At 51.6% G+C, this 18,865-nt stretch overlaps 2 annotated features.

Annotated features, from left to right (window-relative positions):
* Nucleotides 1,323-1,822: an enhancer, noted in NCBI's record as "H3K27ac hESC enhancer chr11:126052865-126053364 (GRCh37/hg19 assembly coordinates)". NCBI's record gives its function as "activates a minimal SCP1, AML or CMV promoter by ChIP-STARR-seq in primed H9 embryonic stem cells {active_cell/tissue: H9 hESC(primed)}" and the evidence as "EXISTENCE:reporter gene assay evidence [ECO:0000049][PMID:30033119]".
* Nucleotides 4,071-4,996: an enhancer, noted in NCBI's record as "H3K4me1 hESC enhancer chr11:126055613-126056538 (GRCh37/hg19 assembly coordinates)". NCBI's record gives its function as "activates a minimal SCP1, AML or CMV promoter by ChIP-STARR-seq in naive and primed H9 embryonic stem cells {active_cell/tissue: H9 hESC(naive and primed)}" and the evidence as "EXISTENCE:reporter gene assay evidence [ECO:0000049][PMID:30033119]".

Here is an 18,865-nt window from a genome sequence, read left to right on the forward strand (position 1 = left end):
TATTCTAAAATTTACTGTGGTGATGGTTGCACAATTCTGTGAATATATTAAAAACCATGGAATTGCATACTTTAAATGTGTAAATTATATGGTATTGTGAATTCCCAATAAAGTTATTTTAAAAAGAGAGAAAGGGAGAACCTCATTTTCTAAGCTACAGATTCTTAACTCAGGGCCCATGAACCCACTGAATTACAAACTAGAATTGTGAGAGCACTTGTGCATTTTCTAAGAAGGCCTGCGGCTTTCCTGAGATTCTCCAAAGGCTCCAAGCCACAAAAAAGAATCCCTGTCCTCAGAATGAGCTGGAGTTGGGGCTTCAGGTTTGGGAGAGCCTCCTCACGGCTTCCCTTTTGCACCTCCCCTGGGGAAGTCGGGGTATGGAGGGGAGGGGCGCCCAGAGTCCATTTCCTGTGTGCCGGTTTAATATTCACTCAGTGGTGTGGAGTTGGGTTAGCCGCAGCTCACCTCGGGGGCCAGCCACTCTGACCACAGCCTGGAGCCACTGGCTCAAGCTATTCTCAGACCCTTCCCTTCTGTGACCCTCTTCCTTCCCCGATTGCCCCCTCCCAGGCTGTCCCTCCCCGATTGCCCCCTCCCAGGCTGTCCCTCCAGGCCTCCCGAGAGGCTGGCAGTGGCTCCACTTGCTGCTTTTGCCACTTGCTCCAGGCATTAACTGGAACACAGATCCCTGGCTCCTACTGCCCTCAACTCCAATGCTGGAGTAACTCAAAGGTAGAATGACCATACTGCTACCTACCTGCGGGGACAGCCTTGGTTTAAACCCGATGTTCCAGTGTGGTTTTTGTTTTGTTTTGTCTTGTTTTTGAGACAGGGTCTCATTCTGTTGCCCAGGCTGAGCACAGTGGTGATCATGGCTCACTGCAGCCTCAGCCTCCTGGGCTCAAGCAATCCTCCCACCTTAGCCTCCTGAGTAGCAGGGACTACAGGTGCACGTCACAACTGGCTAGTTTTTTTTTTGTTTTTTGTAGAGATAGAGTCTCACTGTGTTGCCCAGAATGATCTCTAATTCCTGGATGCCAGTGATCCTCCCACCTCGGCCTCCTAAAGTGCTGGGATTACAGGCATGAGCCACTGCGCTCAGCCCTGGTGTGATTATTGAGTGCCAAATTTCATTCTCAAAAGTATCCTGGTTTGTAAGATACTGTAAATTTCATTAACCCCTTACCTAAAGATAGAATTGTCACGCCTCCTGGGGTGAGCAGCACTCCAGCGGTCTCTGAAGCCGTGGTCCAGACTGCAGGAAGGCTTCACATCCACCTTCCTCAGCAGACAGGTTTCATTCTGTTCTGTTCATACCTCAGCAGGAAAGGGCATTGCCACCTCTCACGGGTCTGGTGGCCCTCCATTGAGCATGGATAAGATGCCTCCTCTTCCATCTCGCCCATCCTCAGTGCAGGGGGTCTGGGCCTCTCCCCTCTACAATTCGATGTAAGGCAAAGGTGACATTCCTCTGTAGCCCTTGCCACCCTCAGCCTTTTCCTCCCCGGGTGAAAAATCCCAACCCCTTAACGTTTCATTCCCTCCCACCTCCTTCAGTGCCCAAGCCGCTCTGCTCCTTAAGATCACAAACCACGCACAAACCACATCTTTTCTTCTTTACATAGCTAGTGCCTGGCAGAGGAGGTGCTCACTAAATCTTTTTTTTTTTTTTTTTTGTGAGATGGAGTCTTGCTCTGTCACCCAGGTTAGAGTGCAGCCTCCACCTCCTGGGTTCCAGCGATTATCCTGCCTCAGTCTCCCAGGTAGCTGGGATAACAACTGCCTGCCACCATGCCCAACTAATTTTTGTATTTTTAGTAGAGATGGGGTTTCACCATGTTGGTCAGGCTGGTCTCGAACTCCTGACTTCAGGTAATCTGCCTGCCTCGGCCTCCCCAAGTACTAGGATTACAGGTGTGAGCCACCGCATCCAGCCTAGTTCATTCTTTTCAATAATTTTTCCTTTTTTTTTTTTTTTTTTTTTTGTGACAGGGCCTCACTCTGTTGTCCAGGCTGGAGTGCAGCAGCATAATCTGGGCTCACTGAAGTCTTAAACTCGTAGGTTCAAGTGATCCTCCCATCTCAGCCTCCCAAGTAGCTGGAACTACAGGTGCATGCCATCACACCCAGCTAATTTTTTTTAATAGGAAAGATGAGGTCTCACTACGTGGCCCAGGCTGGTATCAAACTCTTGGGCTCAAGCAATCCACCTGCCTCGGTGTCACACCTGGAATTACAGGTGTGAGCCTTACAGGTGAGAGCTTCAGTGGGTTCAAGGGCCCTAAGAATCTCTAGCCTAGAAAATAAGGTTCTTCCTTTCTCTTTTTAATAACTTTCTTGAGAATTCACAGTACCATACAATTCACACATTTAAAGCATGCAATTCAATGGTTACCTTGCCAGGCTTGATAGATAATTTTTGGATGAATGAGGCACTGGCAAAATGAAGCTGAGGCTGCTATCACGTTGCATGGGGCCGAGGGCACCGCAGAGCCTGGGCCCCCAGGTGTGGGCAGCTCCTGAGAGCACCCTCTCCGGAAGAGTAGGACTGAGAGGGCCGGCCCCACTGAAATGCACGCCCGTGGATGCAGCAAGAGGTCGGCCGGGCAGGGGGAAAGGGCATCCCCTTCCATTCCAGGAGCTGCTCTTCTCGTAGGTCACACCCAGGGCCCTTCCCCAGAACTGTACTCCTTCCAGCCAAGCCCACTTCCTCTGCTCACAAGAGAAAGGAAAACTCTTCTGCTGGATGCAGAGGTGTACAATGAAGAAGGGGCCGCCTGAGGCTTTGTATCCAGGGCCCTTTTATTTTGTTCTTTTGGTCAGTATTTACTACCCATTTGACAAGCATGTCCCAAGCATTTCCTATGTACCAGGCCTGTGCTGGACACTGGGGATGAAACTGAGAACAAGCCATCCAGGTGCCTCTGCCCTGCAGGGCTGTCTTTAATCTTGATGTCCAAAGCTGGCTCCAGGGGCTGCACTTAGAATAAAATAAGACAGTGATTTCTGGGTTCCTGCAGTTTCTGGGTTTCTGGATATCTCCGTGTGAACGGCCACCTTTATGTAAGCGTCATAAAGAGTATCTGCTTGACATGAGAACTTTTGGAGTGAGATGAACCATTTTCGAATCTCAGTTCTGTTTCTCCTTGGTTGAGTTACACTTGATCTTAGCCAAAAGGCGGAGAAGTGATCCCCTTGGTTGAGTTATTTAATCTCCGGCTCATGTGTGAATTGTAGACAATCCCATCCACCTTGCAGAATTATTTGGAGGGTCCGATGGGTAACGGCTGCAAGATAAGTGTCCAGTACGTGGGGACACTCAGTAAACGGGGTGACGATTACCCCTGAGCACTGGGGTTTCAAATCCCAGCTGAAGATTCTGTTGGAGTTGGCATGACCTTGTGTTGCAAGACTGTGGCTCCTAAAATTGACTGGTTTTAAGAATCACTGTGAGAGCTTTTTAGAATTACAAATTTTCGAGCCCGAAACCAAACCGACTGAACCGGAAGCGGCAGGGATGGGCCTGGAAATGTGCATTCTCAGAGGTCTCCAAGTGTGCGATCCACAGTGCTAAGCAGCGCCTCTCAAATCCAGCCCACCCATTTATTTTCCAAAACTCCTGGGAGAGACGACAGAGGGACAGAGGCGCAGGGCTCTGTGGAAGCCAGGCCTGCACCCCTCCCCCAGGCGGCCTCCTCTCCACTCTGGGACCAGCCCTGCCTTCCCCCAGGCTGCGGTGGGTCCCGTCGGAGCACAGCGGCTGCTCATAAAGCTCCCGATGAAAGGCACGCTGGACAGGAGAGGTCAAGGTTCACACAAGCAGCTCCGCCTTCTGTTTCATTTACAAGTGGCAGTCACCTCATTAAACCCGGTCCCCCTCCACCCCTACCCCACCCTCACCCCCAGCCCACCGCACGCATCCCCACACCCGGTCCCTCCCGCTCAGCCCTGGCCGGCACAGAGAGGCTGGGTTGGAGATCGAGTGGTCCAGAGATGGGCAGGTGACCTGCTGGACACGCCCACCCATACCCCAGACTTGCCTAGTGCCTAATGTATGGAATGCACTCAACACGTGTTTGTTAAACTTGGTGTTTATAAATGCATAAAAGTGGCATTTTGTGAAGTTGCTGCAGCACAACTTGGACTTGGAAAGCAGTGCTGATCCCTTCAGAGTCCTGGGGAGGAGAAAAGGCAGCGATTGCTGTGCGCCCCCGGCTGACTTTTCACCTCTCCTAGCCTCTGTTTCCTCCTCTATGAAGGGGTTACCGAGGTGATTAAATGGAGCAGGCCACACGAAAGAGCCTAGCTAACGACTGGAACATTGCAGCTGTGCGGTTGGTGTTCCTGAACCCACAGAGGGCAATGGAGACACAACGTCACACAGAGTTAACTCTGCCCAGGCACAGTGGCTCACGCCTGTAGTCCCAGCTACTTCAAAGGCTGAGGAGGCAGGGCAGCTTGAGCCCAGGAGGTTGAGGCTGCAGTGGACCATGACTGTGCCACTGCATTCCAGCCTGGGTGACACGAGGAGACCCTGTCTTAAAAAAAAACATTAAACAGAGTTAACTTCAATTATGATGACAGCATGGAGGCTGGCAGGCATGGGGGCTGTTAGACCACACAGAAGGACCTGAGGTCCTCAGCAGGGTTTACAGGTGGCTCCTGGGGAGATGGGAACCTGTAAGCCTGGACCTGAAGCAGGGGCTTTAGCCAGCCAGGCCCAGGGGCCAGATGGAGCAGAGAGAAGCCGCTCACCAGGCCTCGAGTGGAAGGGGCGCGCCTGCACATCTGAAGCCTGGGGAGAAGCAGGCCTGGTGACTCGGTGCGTGTCCAGCAAGGGAAGGGAGCCAGGCGAGGCCAGGGAGTGGACAGCTGGACGCCTGCTGGACCTCCCCCAAGGAAGGCTTCCGGGCTCCGGCTGAGGGATCATGAAGTGCTGAGGTGCCTTAAGCCCAGGGGCCCATGACTGGAGTCGCCCCTACCATTTCATTTTAGTCTTCACGCCAGTTTATGAGCTACTGAAGGGTCCCAACTTTGTCACCTTAGGATCATTCCCCAGGGTCCCACGTACACCCCACTCCCCTGCAACAGGAGAGGCCTGCCTCGCCCCTCTTGGACTCAGCGCAGCGCTGGTGCCCATCTCTGAGTGGTGGAGGCTCCAGCATTTCTATACAGCAGGGGCCTGGGGAGGCTGCAAGGGAGGTATAGAGGGGACCGGTCATCAAACATTTGCAGAGCAGGCTCAGTTTGTTTGTTTGAGAGAGGAGCTGGTGGAGACCGTCCGAGGCTGAAGTCCACTACGGCCCCACAGAGCCCCAGCTGCAGGAAGCCAGAGAAAAGAGCGCCATTCCTGCCTCCGTCTCTGTGAAGGGCGTCCCGGGCTGGGACTGGGTGAGGTGAAGGAGGTTCCTCACTTCCCTGACCAAGGCCCTGCCCGTAGCTCTCACCACCCTCTCCTCGCCTCTGCCCATCCCTCCTTGCCCTCCCACACAGGTCTTGTGGGGGCTCAGGCACCCTCATCAGCACCCCTGCATCATGGGGCCGCTGCTGGGCCTCCCCTAAGAGGGGCTCTCCCCAGTGAAAAGGAGGCTGAAGAGAGGATGGCGCCGAAGCTGCCACCCAGAGGAGAGAAGGGACATTAACACAGAAGGAGAGACTGGAGAGAGAAAATAAGAGACAGAAAATGAGAGGCAGGGAGCGAGGCAGGTGCGAGGGGACGAGAGTGCAATCTTAACAGAAGGGGAAGGCACTAACCAGGGACCACATGCTGGGGCACAGAGGGATGAATATGTATAAACACTGAGAGTCAGACAGGGACAGAGACTGTGCCAGGGACCACAACAGAGGCCGGCAGATGATGGGCGGCCTGTCATCTTTTGGAGCCAGGCCCTGTTAGGAGAATTCTTGGCCTCAGTTGATGCTGGGGGCAGGATGGAGTGTGCCTTCCCCTCCAATTTTTCCAGCTGGAACCCTACATGCAGCTCCAAGCTTTCCCCATCCTTTCTGAGGTTCCGGCTGCAAAGACTCCCAGGACAGGCCAGCCGGGTCGCTGGGCCTGAGAGTGGCCCACCCAGGGCCCACCTTGGGCAGGTGGGGGAGACCGTGGGCTTCCAGGAACAAGGAGCCCCCAACAAGTACAAGAAGGACCCTAAGGGCTGGGTAGGGTGGCAGGGTGGCTCACACTTGTAATCCCAGCACTTTGGGAGGCTGAGGTGGGCAGATCACGAGGTCAGGAGATTGAGACCATCCTGACCAACATGGTGAAACCCCGTCTCCACTAAAAATACAAAAATTAGTCAGGCGTGGTGGTACGCACCTGTAGTCCCAGCTACTCGGGAGGCTGAGGCAGGAGAATTGCTTGAACCCGGGAGGTGGAGACTGCAGTGAGCTGAGATCACATCACTGCACCCCAGCCTGGTGACAGAGCGAGACTCCATCTCAAGAAAAAAAAAAAAGAAGGACCCTAAGACCCACCAGCCAAACAGATCCTCCCACACTCCTTCCAGGTCTGCACCGGACACAGCTGGGCTAAGTGGTGACCTGAGACCCAGGGAGAGCTGAAGCCGGGGAGTTTCTGGGTGTCTTGATGTTGAGGGGTAACTTGTCTGCTGCTTGGAGGGCTCCTTTAGTCACCGGCTGAGAGGATTATCAGGACGGCGCAGGCCTCCAGGTGTGCCACGGCCCTGACTCCGCAACAGCTCTGTGCTACCTACCTCCCCCTCCCTGGGCTTTCTGACCTCTGCCGTCTCGTGCTCCCCTCCCCTATGGGTCAGGATCCAAGCTCCCCAAGTTTGCTACTTCTCCAGCCATGTCGCTCCCTGCCACAAGCTCTACACTGCAGTAACACACCACACTGCTTGCAGACACATCTAGAAACCACAGCACTCCTTCCTCTGGAATGCCCCTCCCTTCTCTCCTCCTGAAAGCTCTCAGGTCCCCAGGAAGGCCCCCTCCCCACCCAGGCTGCATCGGCATTTTGCTAGTGATCTCCGGATGCCTGGGTGCCTCTCCTGCAATCTCTCTGAAACATGTCAGGTGCTCCAGGACAGGGCTACAGCTGCATCTCGACACCCACTACGGCCAACACACAGCCCGGGCCCCTAGGTGATGGGTGGACAAATGAGATGCGGTCAGGATTATAAGCCACACCTCGCCTGACTGGTTCTCCACTTCCTTTTTGTCTTTCCACCTAGATGGCAGGTGCACTGTGTGCAGAAACTGTATCTTCTGCTTCCTTGCCCTCTCCCTAGTTTCAGACAATGTTGTGCACGACAGACACTTGCTGACAGGAAGAGGGGTCAGAGTCTTGCGTGTTCCAAGGGATCCACCTGAATTCTTCAAGGACCCTGCGTTCCGGGCACCAGGGACAAAGCCAGGTCCATGTGTGGTTTCTCTCTTTTCTAGGGCCTGCAAGTTGGAGAGATGCCCTCCCCTCCCCCATAGAATCCCAAACCCTGGTCTGGGGCTCATTCAGGTGGATTTCGGGACAGGCCAGAGGGAAGGGACAGCAACGGAGAGCTGGGGACGGGGGCGCTTTTCCTCGGAAAATAATGAGGCAATTAGAGGAGGCCGAGAGCAGTTCCAGATGTGGCGGCTGACTGCTGAGATAGTGACGTGTACTTCTAACATGTCAGCACGCTGGGGACTGAGGCTGTCTGCAGCTGCTCCAGCTGTCACCTGGCCCCACTGTGCTGCTGCGGTTACCTGGCCTAATGGTTTTGGAATGAGCTGGGCTGGGGCCCACGGCCTAGAACCCTGGTCCCCAAAACTTCTTGCCAGAAAGAAACTCAACCTCAGTAAAAGCCCCATCTGCTGAGGGCCGTCAAGACATTCACCGTCACCTGCCTCGCCTTGAAGTTCGATCCCCTCCAGGACAAGCTTTCAGGGGAAGCTCGGAGCCTGGCCCCGAGCAAGCGCTGGGGACAGAACACAGTGTGGTTGGATGTGGCCCTAGGCCCAGAGTTGCCTAAAGTCCAGGCATGGGAGACAGGACAGGGACAAAGCCCCTCCGACAGGAAGCAGCCAGTGGCTGGCACTGATCAGGTGCACACAAAGGTGTCTGTGTTCCTGTCTGGCCCCTCCCCAGCAGGCCCTGGACCCTGCCCTCTCCATCCCATCTTTCCCAGGCGTCCTGAGCTGCCTGGCCTTTTGAGCGATTACTGGCACAGGATACCAGCACTGACAGCTCTTGTCACAGTCCCCCAGGCCTCATTCATGCTGGAGAGGCGAGGACAGCTTAATTCCCAAACTCAGACACAGGATTGCCTGCCAGATAGGGCATGGGGCTGCCACTGACCCCCACCCCTCCCTCCCTAGGAGGTGGGCACCTGGGAACAAAGCCTCTGGTGTCCCCTCTGCTCTCCTCCCTCCTCTGACCTCCCCTTCCCCTCTTTCTGCATCAAACAGCAGGTGCTGATGGCAGCTAAATTGTCCAGGGATGAGTGATGCTGGGTGCTTAGGAGGATGAGAAGGAAAGAGCTTTGGACATGACAACCTCAACCCTTCCCCACTCCAGCCCCCATTTGGGGACAGGGAAAAGAATTGATGTCAGATGTAGGGGGTTCCCTTAGCCCCAGTATTCTGAGCTTCTGGCCCCCACACCAGGAACCAAGGAGCACTGGCTTCATGCCAACACCTTCAAACCACCCCACACTCCGTGTGGAACCCGAGGCCCTTCAGGAGCTGTCAGACAGCCCCAGGGAGCTGCTGGCCATGCTGTGTTCTCCTGGCATCTTCCCACTCCCAGGCCAGCCACCTTGGCTGGGGGTATCTGCCATGACCTTCACTCCCTGAGCCCTTGGTCTTCACATCCATGGTGGACAATCCCAGATGGGGGTTCCCCAAGTCCCGCCCAGTTTGGGAAACAACTGTGCCCCCTCCCATTTCCAAGGCCATCTCCTAAGCTAGCCTGGGGGCTCCTCACATGTGCTCCTGAGGTTCTAACAACCACTTGGGCATGGCCTGCCCTCTCCGGAGTCAAAGCCACTAATTCAGCTTGGAATGCCCTTCTCCATATGCAGTGTGGAGGAACTGACCCCCTTTTTCTGCTTTTCCTTTCCTAGTTCTCCCCCAAACTGCAGTCAGAATAGCAGAGTTAGGGCTGTTCTTCATTCCCATTAGGACTCTAGAAAAACAGACTAATGGCCCCAAAGAGCGTAACCGCATGACCCTCCTCCTCTAGAGAAAGTGCTAGAAATCTAATCGGGCAGCAACATAGTACCGTGGGTAAGTCCGTGCGTCCAGGCCTGTTTCCTGGCTTTCCAGGTGCATGCCCTCAGGCAGTCTGCCCAAGCTGATTTCCTCATCTCTGAAATATCTCCTTCGTGGAAGCACTGCGGGATTCAATGAGCTCACACGGCACAGCCCCAGCACCGTGCCTGGCTCGCGGCAAGTGTCCGATAGAAGCCAGCCTCTGCTGCTGTGACCACCTTCCCCAGCAGTGGCTGGTGTGTGCTATGGGCTGACTGTCTCTCCCAAATTCCTGTGTTGAAGACTCAACCCCAGTACCTCAGAATGTGACGACCCTTGGAGATAAGCCTTTAAGGGGGTGAGTCCATTGAAATGGAGCCTCGAGGACGTGCCCTCACCCACTCTGACCAGTGTCCCTGTAAGAAGAGGCAATCAGATCACAGGCCCACACCGAGGAGAAGCTGTGTGAGCGCACACAGAGAAGGCAGCCATCAGCAACAGAGAGGCCTCCAGAGAAACCAAGCCTGCCAACACCTGGATCTTGGACTTCCAGCCTCCAGAACCATGAGCAAATGAATTTCTATTGTCTAAGCCACCCAGGCTGTGATATTTCGTTACGGTAGCCCCAGCAAACTGTGATATTTTGTTATGGCAAGCTGCAGTGTGACCAGTCACTGCCTGGGATGCCAGGCCCGTCCTTCCCAGCCCAGGCACCGTGCAGGATGCCAGGCCCCAGAAAGGACGGGAAGGCCCCGGGCAGGATAGTAAAAGGCCCGATGTCCAGGTCCCTTCTGGGAGGTTTCACTTCCAAGTACAGTCTGGATTCTAAACTGGATCTTAACATTGAGTTTCTACACTGCCCTTCTCTGAGATGCTGAATTTGTGGGTTCCAGTAAGGGATTAGGGATGTTGTGTCTTCTCCCGAATAAGTAATCTTGGCATAACCAGACTCAGGGTCTTGAAACTAGAAAGGATCTCAGAGATTGTCTTATCTAGAGACTGAGATCATCAACTTTGTCTCAACTGCCCATTTTACAGGTGAGGAAACTGAGGTCTGGAAAGATGGTGACACAGCTAGCTAGCGGCAGAATTTAAAAAGAACCCAGTTGCCTTGTCTTTCCATTAGGAGACCTGCCTTCCTGCTCCAAGTGTACACTCGCTCATCCCTGGCTGGGATCTGGGAAGGCTGGAGAGAGGAGAATCGGGACTTCTCTTTTGGTCTCTCAGCACCTGGTTCACTGGAGAAACACAGGTTAAGAGTGGGGCTCCCAAGTTAGACGGATGGGTCAAAACCTAGTTCTGCTGTGTACAGATGTGGCCTCGGGAAATCAGTGGACCACTCTGGGCTTCATGTTTATCATCTGTAAAATGGAAATAAAAACAAGGAAGAATAGTATATCCCTCACAAGGCTATTATTGGGAGCTTTTAAACCTAACAGGCTCCACATAGGCCACAAAAGTCGAATGCAGAAATTACCACGAGTGTTGGCTTTCGGGGGTCCGTGTGGGAGTAGGGAAAGGAAGAGTGAGTCTCAGCTGTGATCACAGGCCCTCTAAGCCTCTTGCTTGCCTTCTCTCGTGGAATTTTCTTTCCTAGGCTGGAGAAGTAGGGTGACAAGGGAAATCTGGCTTATAACTCCAGAAAATAAACCCAAGGATACTTCTGGAAAATTCTGTAACTTTAGGCAGGAAAAAGGCCAGACTCCCCGGCAGGGCCAGGACGGGCTGGCAGCCTTTCAGACACGGCTTGAAGGAGGCCCTGGTGTGAGACAGAGGCTCGGAGGACCGCACAGAGCCCAGGGCACAGTGGCTCGCTCCCTCCCTGTCCTCCTGCCACCTTCCAGCTCCCACCCTCTCTTTTCCTCTGTCTTCTTTCCCATGAAGGTGGCACCTTCAGTGGCCAGTGAGTCCCTGGCAGCTGTGAGTGAGTGAGACCAGGCTTGGCAGCTGTCTGTTAGCAACGGAGTTGGAGCATCCCACCATGGGGGTGATGCCCACAGCCTGAGTCCCCTTCCAGCATGGGGAGCCCCTGATTCCAAGGGGGAGATTCTCGCTTGACCCTCAGAGTGGTGTTGCATGCATGAAGTGATGACCACATGCCCCTTAAAGCCAACTACAGAGAAAGTGGGTGGATGGGTCTGGCCACCACAAGCTCCTCGGAACACAGGCTGGAGGTCTGGGATGAGGGGCCCAAGGCTGTCCACCTGGGCGGCAGGGAGGCCCGAGAGGACAAGAACCAGCCCCAGAGAACGGAGAGATGAAAGAGGTGATGAGGACAAGCTGGCGTCTTCCCGGAAACCTGGATGGGAGAGGAGACAGTGCCAGCCGCTCTCCCCGTGGGCCTCCCCCCTGCTTGCTCTCTGACCTCGCTGAGCACATCAAAGCGGGAACCCCTTCCCCCAGGCTGGCTCCCTGAATGGCCCAGGTCATCACTGGCTCCTTGAAGCTGCTGATGGACAGATGGTAATCGCTCCCAGCCTGCTGAAAGAGGACGCGGCTCCAGGTCGGAGCTGGGCCTCGGTGGGCTCCCTGCATGGGAGGCTGTCTTGGCTGCCCACTTCTCGGTCCCCCTCACTGCTCCCTGGGACAGTCTGGTTAGCTTGCCTTGGGGAAAGAGGGTGCTCGGGTAGCTCTGATGCTGGGGTTCAGAGGCCCACAGGCGCAGCAGGTGAGATGTGCAGAGACCTAAGGGGTCTGAGGACCCCTCAGTCCATGTCAGACAGGCCGTGGGAGCGGCAGAGGATCCTGCAGGAATGGCAGGAGTGAGGCCTGCCCTGGGGAAGTTCGTCACCCAAGAACAGCAGAGGATGAAGGGAACAGCCGGGGCTGGCACTCACACACTTACGTGTCGAAGACACATCATTGTAGAAGAGGCATCCAAGCTGTCACTCTCTTACTTTCTCTCCACTATTTAGTAAATAATGCAGGGAAATAATCCATTTACCTGATTGTGCTTAGTGAAAATTGTACATAACTATCAATTAGTGCATCTGATCAGCAGAGATAGCAACTTATTACTACCTTAAACCAAAATTAAATCAGCAAAGAGCTAAGAATGCTTGACGTTTAGCTACACTGAACTCACGTAGTGGGTAAATGCCTGTTCCTATTAGGCTTTTGGGTAGTTGAGGACAGCTTGACTATATTTTCTACATTTTTATAATGAACATGTAACACTCTTCTCACTGAGTGTGTAGGGATCAAATTCTATTTCAACTTCACTCAAAGAGCCCAAAACATGACCTCCTACTACTCCACCCTACACGAGAGAACAGAAAACCCAGCGTCAGGCTAGCTAAAAAAGTAGGGGGCCGAGATTTACAACGCTGGAGTAGCCACGGTGAGGGTTATCAGGGGGTTAGAAAAAGATGGTAAGGCTCTTGTGCGGGATACTTCATACTTGATTAAATCATGTTCCCATTTTTTGTAGCAGCTTAGCCTGGAGAGGGATAAAAGCTGGAGTACTGCTGCCATCCGGTGGCAACATTAGAAAATGCATTTTACTGCGTTCATATTAATACAGTAATAAAACTACATTTTACCCTATGAAATTGTCTATATTTGACCCAGTGTAACCATCAAAAATCACAACTTACAAAAAAATTACACTTGGGAAAGAACAGACTTCAACAAATGGTGCTAGGACGGCTGGCTACCCAGTCAAAATTGGACACCATCGTTATACCACACACAGAAATGATTTAAGATTATAGACCTAAATCTAGAAAACTCTTAGACAAAAAAAACAGAAGGAAATCTCCAAGACTTTGTATTAGGTGATGGTTTCTTAGATATGACACCAAAAGCACAAGCGACAAAAGGAAAAATTGGACATCAAAATCGACAACTTTCCTATTACAAATAATATAATCAAGAAAGTGAAAAGACAACACAAAGGGAAAAAATATTTGCAGACAATACCTCTAATAAGACAGTGGTATCCAGGCCGGGCGCAGTGGCTCATGCCTGTAATCTCAGCACTTTGGGAGGCCAAAGCAGGCGGATCACTTGAAGTCAGGAGTTTGAGACCAGCCTGCATGGCGAAACCCCATCTCTACTAAAAATACAAAAATTGGCTGAACATGGTGGTGCATGCCTGTAAACCCAGCTACTGGGGAGGCTGAGGCAGGAGAATCACTTGAACCCAGGAGGCGGTGGTTGCAGTGAGCCGAGATCACGCCACTGCACTCTAGCCCAGGCAACAAGAGCGAAACTCTGTCTCAAACAAACAAAAAAGTGGAATCCAGGATATATAAAGAACTCCTACAAATTAATAATAAAAGCAAATAACTGAATTTAAAAATGGGCAAAAGATTTGCATAGATATTTCTTTAGGATGTATAGTCACCAAACACATGAAAAGATGCTCAGTATCATTAGCCACTAGTGAAATGCAAATCAAAACCACGGTGAGAAACCACTTCACATCCACTAGGATGGCTGTAATCAGAAAGATAGGTAATAACAAGTGCTGGTGAGAAACTGGACCCCTCATACATTGTTGCTGGGAATGTAAAATGGTGCAACCCCTTTGGAAAACAGTCTGGCAGCTCTAGAAACAGAGTTGCCATACGACCCAGCAATTCCACTCCTAGTTAGGTACCCAAGAAGTTAAAATACACATCCACATAAAAGCTTATACATGAATGTTCAAAGCAGCGTGATTCACAATTGTCAAAAAGTGGAAACAGCCACCAACTGATGAATCGATAAACAAAATTTGGTATATCAATACAATGAAATATTATTCAGCAATATAAAGAAGTAAAATACTGGCCAGGTGCTGTGGCTCACACCTGTAATCCCAGCACTTTGGGAGGCCGAGGTGGGTGGATCACTTGAGGCCTGGAATTCAAGAGCAGCCTGGTCAACGTGGCAAAACCCTGTCTATACTAAAAATACAAAAATTACCCGGGCATAGTGGCACACGCCTGTAATCCCAGCTACTTTTGAAGCTGAGACACGAGAATCGCTTGAACCCAGGAGGCGGAGGTTGCAATGAACCAAGATTACGCCACTGCACTCCAGCCTGGGCCACAGAGCGAGACTCTGTCTCAAAACAAAAACAACAAAAAAAGAAGTGAAAGAGTGACATATGTTACATTGTGAAGGAACCTTGGACACATGACACTAACTCAAAGAAGCCAGTGGCAAAGGAGCACATACTCTATCATTCTGTTTGTATGAAACATCTAAAATAGGCAAATCTATAGGGAAATGAGAATCCTTCTATTTCCAGAAAATAGATTAGCAGTTGTCTACGGCTGGGAGTGGGAATGGGGAGTGACAGCTTAGTGGAAGCCACCGTCACATGTTGCATAGAGGACCGTGTCAGCCGCCTCACTGGTCTCCACACTCCTGTTTCCTGACAAAGCATTCTGCAGTCCTCTGCTGAAGGTCTGATGGAGTGAGCCAGGAGTAGGCAAACAGCCCAATAGGTGTGGAGGGTGGTTAGTCCTTGAGAAATCATATGAACAATGCAGGGGTTCGGGATGCAGATACATCTAGGAGGTAGGGGCATGTGTGTGGACAGATTTGACGGTGGTGAGAAGGCAGGGGCCAGCTGAGCCTTCGGGGTGTATCTGACTAAGTACAAGTCACCATGGCCGTGCCCTCACAGCATGTGAAAATACCTGGGAAAGGCCGGGCACAGTGGCTCACGTCTGTAATCCCAGCACTTTGGAAGGCCGAGGCGGGCGGATCACCTGAGGTCAGGAATTTGAGACCAGCCTGGCCAACATGGTGAAACCCTGTCTCTACTAAAAATACAAAAAATTAGCCAGGTGTGGTGGCAGGCACGTGTAATCCCAGCTACTCGGGAGGCTGAAGCAGGAGAATCACTTGAACCCAGGGAGCGCAGGTTGCAGTGAGCTGAGATCACGCCATCACACTCCAGCCTGGGGACAACAGCAAAACTTCGTCTCAAAAAAAAAAAAAAAGAAAAAAAAAGAAAATACCTGGGAAAGAAGAACTTCACCCATCTGTATAATCACCCCTGATTAAAATCCCTTTCCCACTGCAAGGATGGCAGCAGATGACAGTGTTCCACAGCAGGTGCCAGGAGGGAAGTGAACAGAAATATCTCAAGGCTTCTTGCCTGAAAGGATCCTAAGGCCACAACCAACAGGGGCATCTATGCAGACAGCCACCTAGGCTGGTCACTCGCTGGGGGACAGCAAGATGAAGGGATCCCTAAGAGAGGACATCAAGAGACGCCTAAGGGAGTGGGGGATGGAGAGGAAAACTCAGAGTTCTATAATAATTTGCCTTGCTTTCGTCCTTGGTTCCTGGGAGAGAGAACCTAAATCCTTGGAATTTCCCAAGTGATGTTAACATTTTTTGTTATTCATGATGAGCCCTAATAGTTTACGCTATTAAATGTGAGGACTCACGGTGGGGCTTTAGTTTCAGGATGGGTAGTTTCAGGCTGGCCATGCAAAAAGACCGACCATGTGATTAGAGGGTTGGCACTTTGAACCCAGCAGAACCGAGTTCAACAATGTAGCCAATTGTTCAACCACGACAACATAATGAAACCCCAATAAAAACTCTGGACACCAGGGCTTGGGTGACATTCCTGGCTGGTGATGCACATCCATGTGTTGGGAGGGTGACACGGTGGGCAGAGGACACGGTAGCTTCATGCTGGAGACTCTCCCAGACCTTGCCCATGCATCTCTTCTTTTAGCTGGTCCTGATTCATATCATTTTATTGCTACAGCAAAACCATAATAGTAAGCATAGCTAGTGCTTTGCTGAGTTCTGGGAGTCATTCTAGTGAATGATCAAACCTGAGGGGTTTGTGAACACTCTTGAATTCATAGCTAGTTGGTCAGAAGTACAGGTGGCTGGAAAACCCCAGAGCTTGCAGCTGGTGTCTGAAGTGAGGCAAGTCCTGTGGAATGTGCCATTAACTTGTGACATCTGGCCTAACGCTGGGTAGCTGGTGTTTGAATTACATTGCCCTGAGCCAGCAGATTTTGCTCCGCACTGGGAGAAGCTGTCTGCACCCACATGGCATGCTTTGCACAAGCACAAGCAGGAGGCCATGTTTTTGTATATCCTACCAGGCACTCTGGCTAAAAGCAGTCCAGAGAGCCAAGGAGAGCAGACCTAGAAAACATGGTGGGAGGCTGCTCTATTTGCCTGTCTTGTTTAAAACAGGTACCCCCTCCCACACTGCTCTATCCCCAGGAACCTGGGGATGGTCTCAACACCCCGTTGTGAGTTTGGTTTCTGGTGGGAACTAGCAGGTTGCCTATGATCCTATTTCTAACCCACTATGCCCTTCCACCTCCCAGACCTATCCCATCATAGCTGAAGGGTGGGGACGGTGAAATTGGTGCTCAGGAGATATTAGAATTAAAGAGGGAAGTGCATTTTAAGAGAAGGGTTTTAGATGGAACTGGCAAAGAATTAGTGGCTAATTGGATTTGGGGACTGGTGCGAGGGAGGAGTTAAGGGTGATTCCCAGGTCTCTGGTGATGCCATCTAAACTAAGGCAGGTAAGAGGACAGGAGCAACAGGCCCGGAGAGGGAGCTCCCAAGGGGAGACGATCACAGGCAGATGGATGTGAAGATAAGGAGCTCAAGGGGGAGATCAAGGTCAGAGACAGACTAGCGAGTCGTCAGCACACAGGTAGAGGCTTCCCAAGTTGGCCCAGCTCTCCCTCTGGGAGAGGGGCAGGATGCCAAGATGGAGCTCTGGGGGGCACCATGCTGGGGCCCTTCAAGGAGCCTGGAAGGAGGTCAGACAAGGAGATGCAGGAGGAGTTCATGGAATCAAAGCGAGTGAGGAGCTCAGAGTGGGCAATTCGGTTATCAAATGCAAAGACGTGTGATACGAGGATTGAGAAAGTGCTCTGTGGGCTTATTAGGTTGGGCATGCCTAGCACAGAAAAAAACCAGCTACCCAAAAGCTGCCTCCTGGAGCAGAAGAGCCAGTGCTGCCACCAGAAGGGGCACTGGGAGAGCCGGCCTCCCCCCTCTGCTGAGCACAAGCACCTCCCAGAGCTCACAGCAAACAAAATCCCTACGTGGGCAAGGAGCTGCTGCTTTTCATGGCAAGCCTTTAGTTCTTGATTTTTCATTTTGATTTTTTCTTATTCTTTTTTTAACCAGAGTCATTTGAGCAGAATAGTTCTTGATTTTTTAAATCATGTGCACATAGAACTTTGATAAAAATAGAAATTTAAGAAGCCCATTTTCTTATACTAATTACTGTATATGACTTAACACTAAATCATATCTTTTAGCTGGCTCTAATCAGTATTTCAAAATAGATGCAGTTCATTTTAGGCACATTCCAACCTCCTTTGCTGTGTAACCCATTTCTCAGGCCACACTAACCTGGGGTAAAATTCCTCTTATATTATTGTCAGTAATTAAAGATAGCCACTGGGCCAGGCACGGCGGCTCATGCCTGTAATCCCAGCACTTTAGGAGGCTGAGGCAGGTGGATCACCTGAGGTTGTGAGTTTGAGACCAGCCTGACCAACATGGAGAAACCCCATCTCTACTAAAAATACAAAATTAGCCGGGCATGGTGGCACATGCCTGTAATCCCAGCTACTCGGGAGGCTGAGGCAGGAGAATCGCTTAAACTCGGGAGGCAGAGGTTGTGGGGAGTGGAGATCACGCCATTGCACTCCAGCCTGGGCAACAAGAGTGAAATTCTGTCTCAAAAAAAAAAAAAAAAAAAAAAAAAAGATAGCCACTGTACCTAGCAAGACCTGCTGCTCAGGCAGTCCAGATCCCACTAAGAATCAGAGAAATGTTAATCCTTTCTTTAGGCCTAAGAAAACACAGAAAAGGAAGAACTTCATCATCCTTCACCCTTGCCTGCCCAACTACGGCAGCAGTGTGGGATGCTACGCGGTTTCTTCAAGCTGCTCCCCGTCTTCCCAGCTGACACCTGTGGCATGTGGGCTAGTGCCTGGTCCCTTTGTGGTGCCTTCCTGGGTAACTGGGATTTCGTCAAACACCCACAAGACCAGGGGTCCTCTTCATCTGTCTCCCTGAATTAAAGTCAAAGATCAACACTTCCTAAGTGTCACATTCCCGTCCCTTTATCTCGAGAAGCATCGTTTACAAGAAATATAAGCAGTCACACTATAGCCCGTGGGCTGAATGTGGCCTGCCATAAGTTTTTGTATGACCTGTGAGTTAAGAATGGGCTTTACGTTGTTAAATAGTTGGGGGAAAATATCAAAATAATAATTAGTGTTAGGGACTGAATTGTGTCCACTTCCCTTCCCCGCTCAAAATTCATATATTGAAGCCCTAACCCTCAACAGATCTGCATTTAACAAGGTTTAGAAACCAGCGGGGGCCCCACCCCTGCCCGACTCCCATTTCAGAGAGGCTGGGTCCCACCTCTGTGGCCAGTGTCCTGGGCTAAACGGCCTGACGTGACGAGCAGATTCCCACACCTTGTCCTCCCTGCACATCCGGAGCAGCATCTGTTCCCAGACCATAGCACCCTGGGACCCCCAACACTGGATCTGACTCCAGACAAATCTGTCACACTGCTTTACTGTTTTGTTTTGTTTTTTAATTTGTATTGAGACAGAGTCTCTCTCTGACACCCAGGCTGAAGTGCAGTGGCGCCAGCATGGCTCACTGCAGCCTCAACCTCCTGGGCTCAAGTGATTCTCCTGCCTCAGCCTCCCAT

Source organism: Homo sapiens, chromosome 11, assembly GCF_000001405.40.
Source record: "Homo sapiens chromosome 11, GRCh38.p14 Primary Assembly".
NCBI lineage: Eukaryota > Metazoa > Chordata > Mammalia > Primates > Hominidae > Homo > Homo sapiens.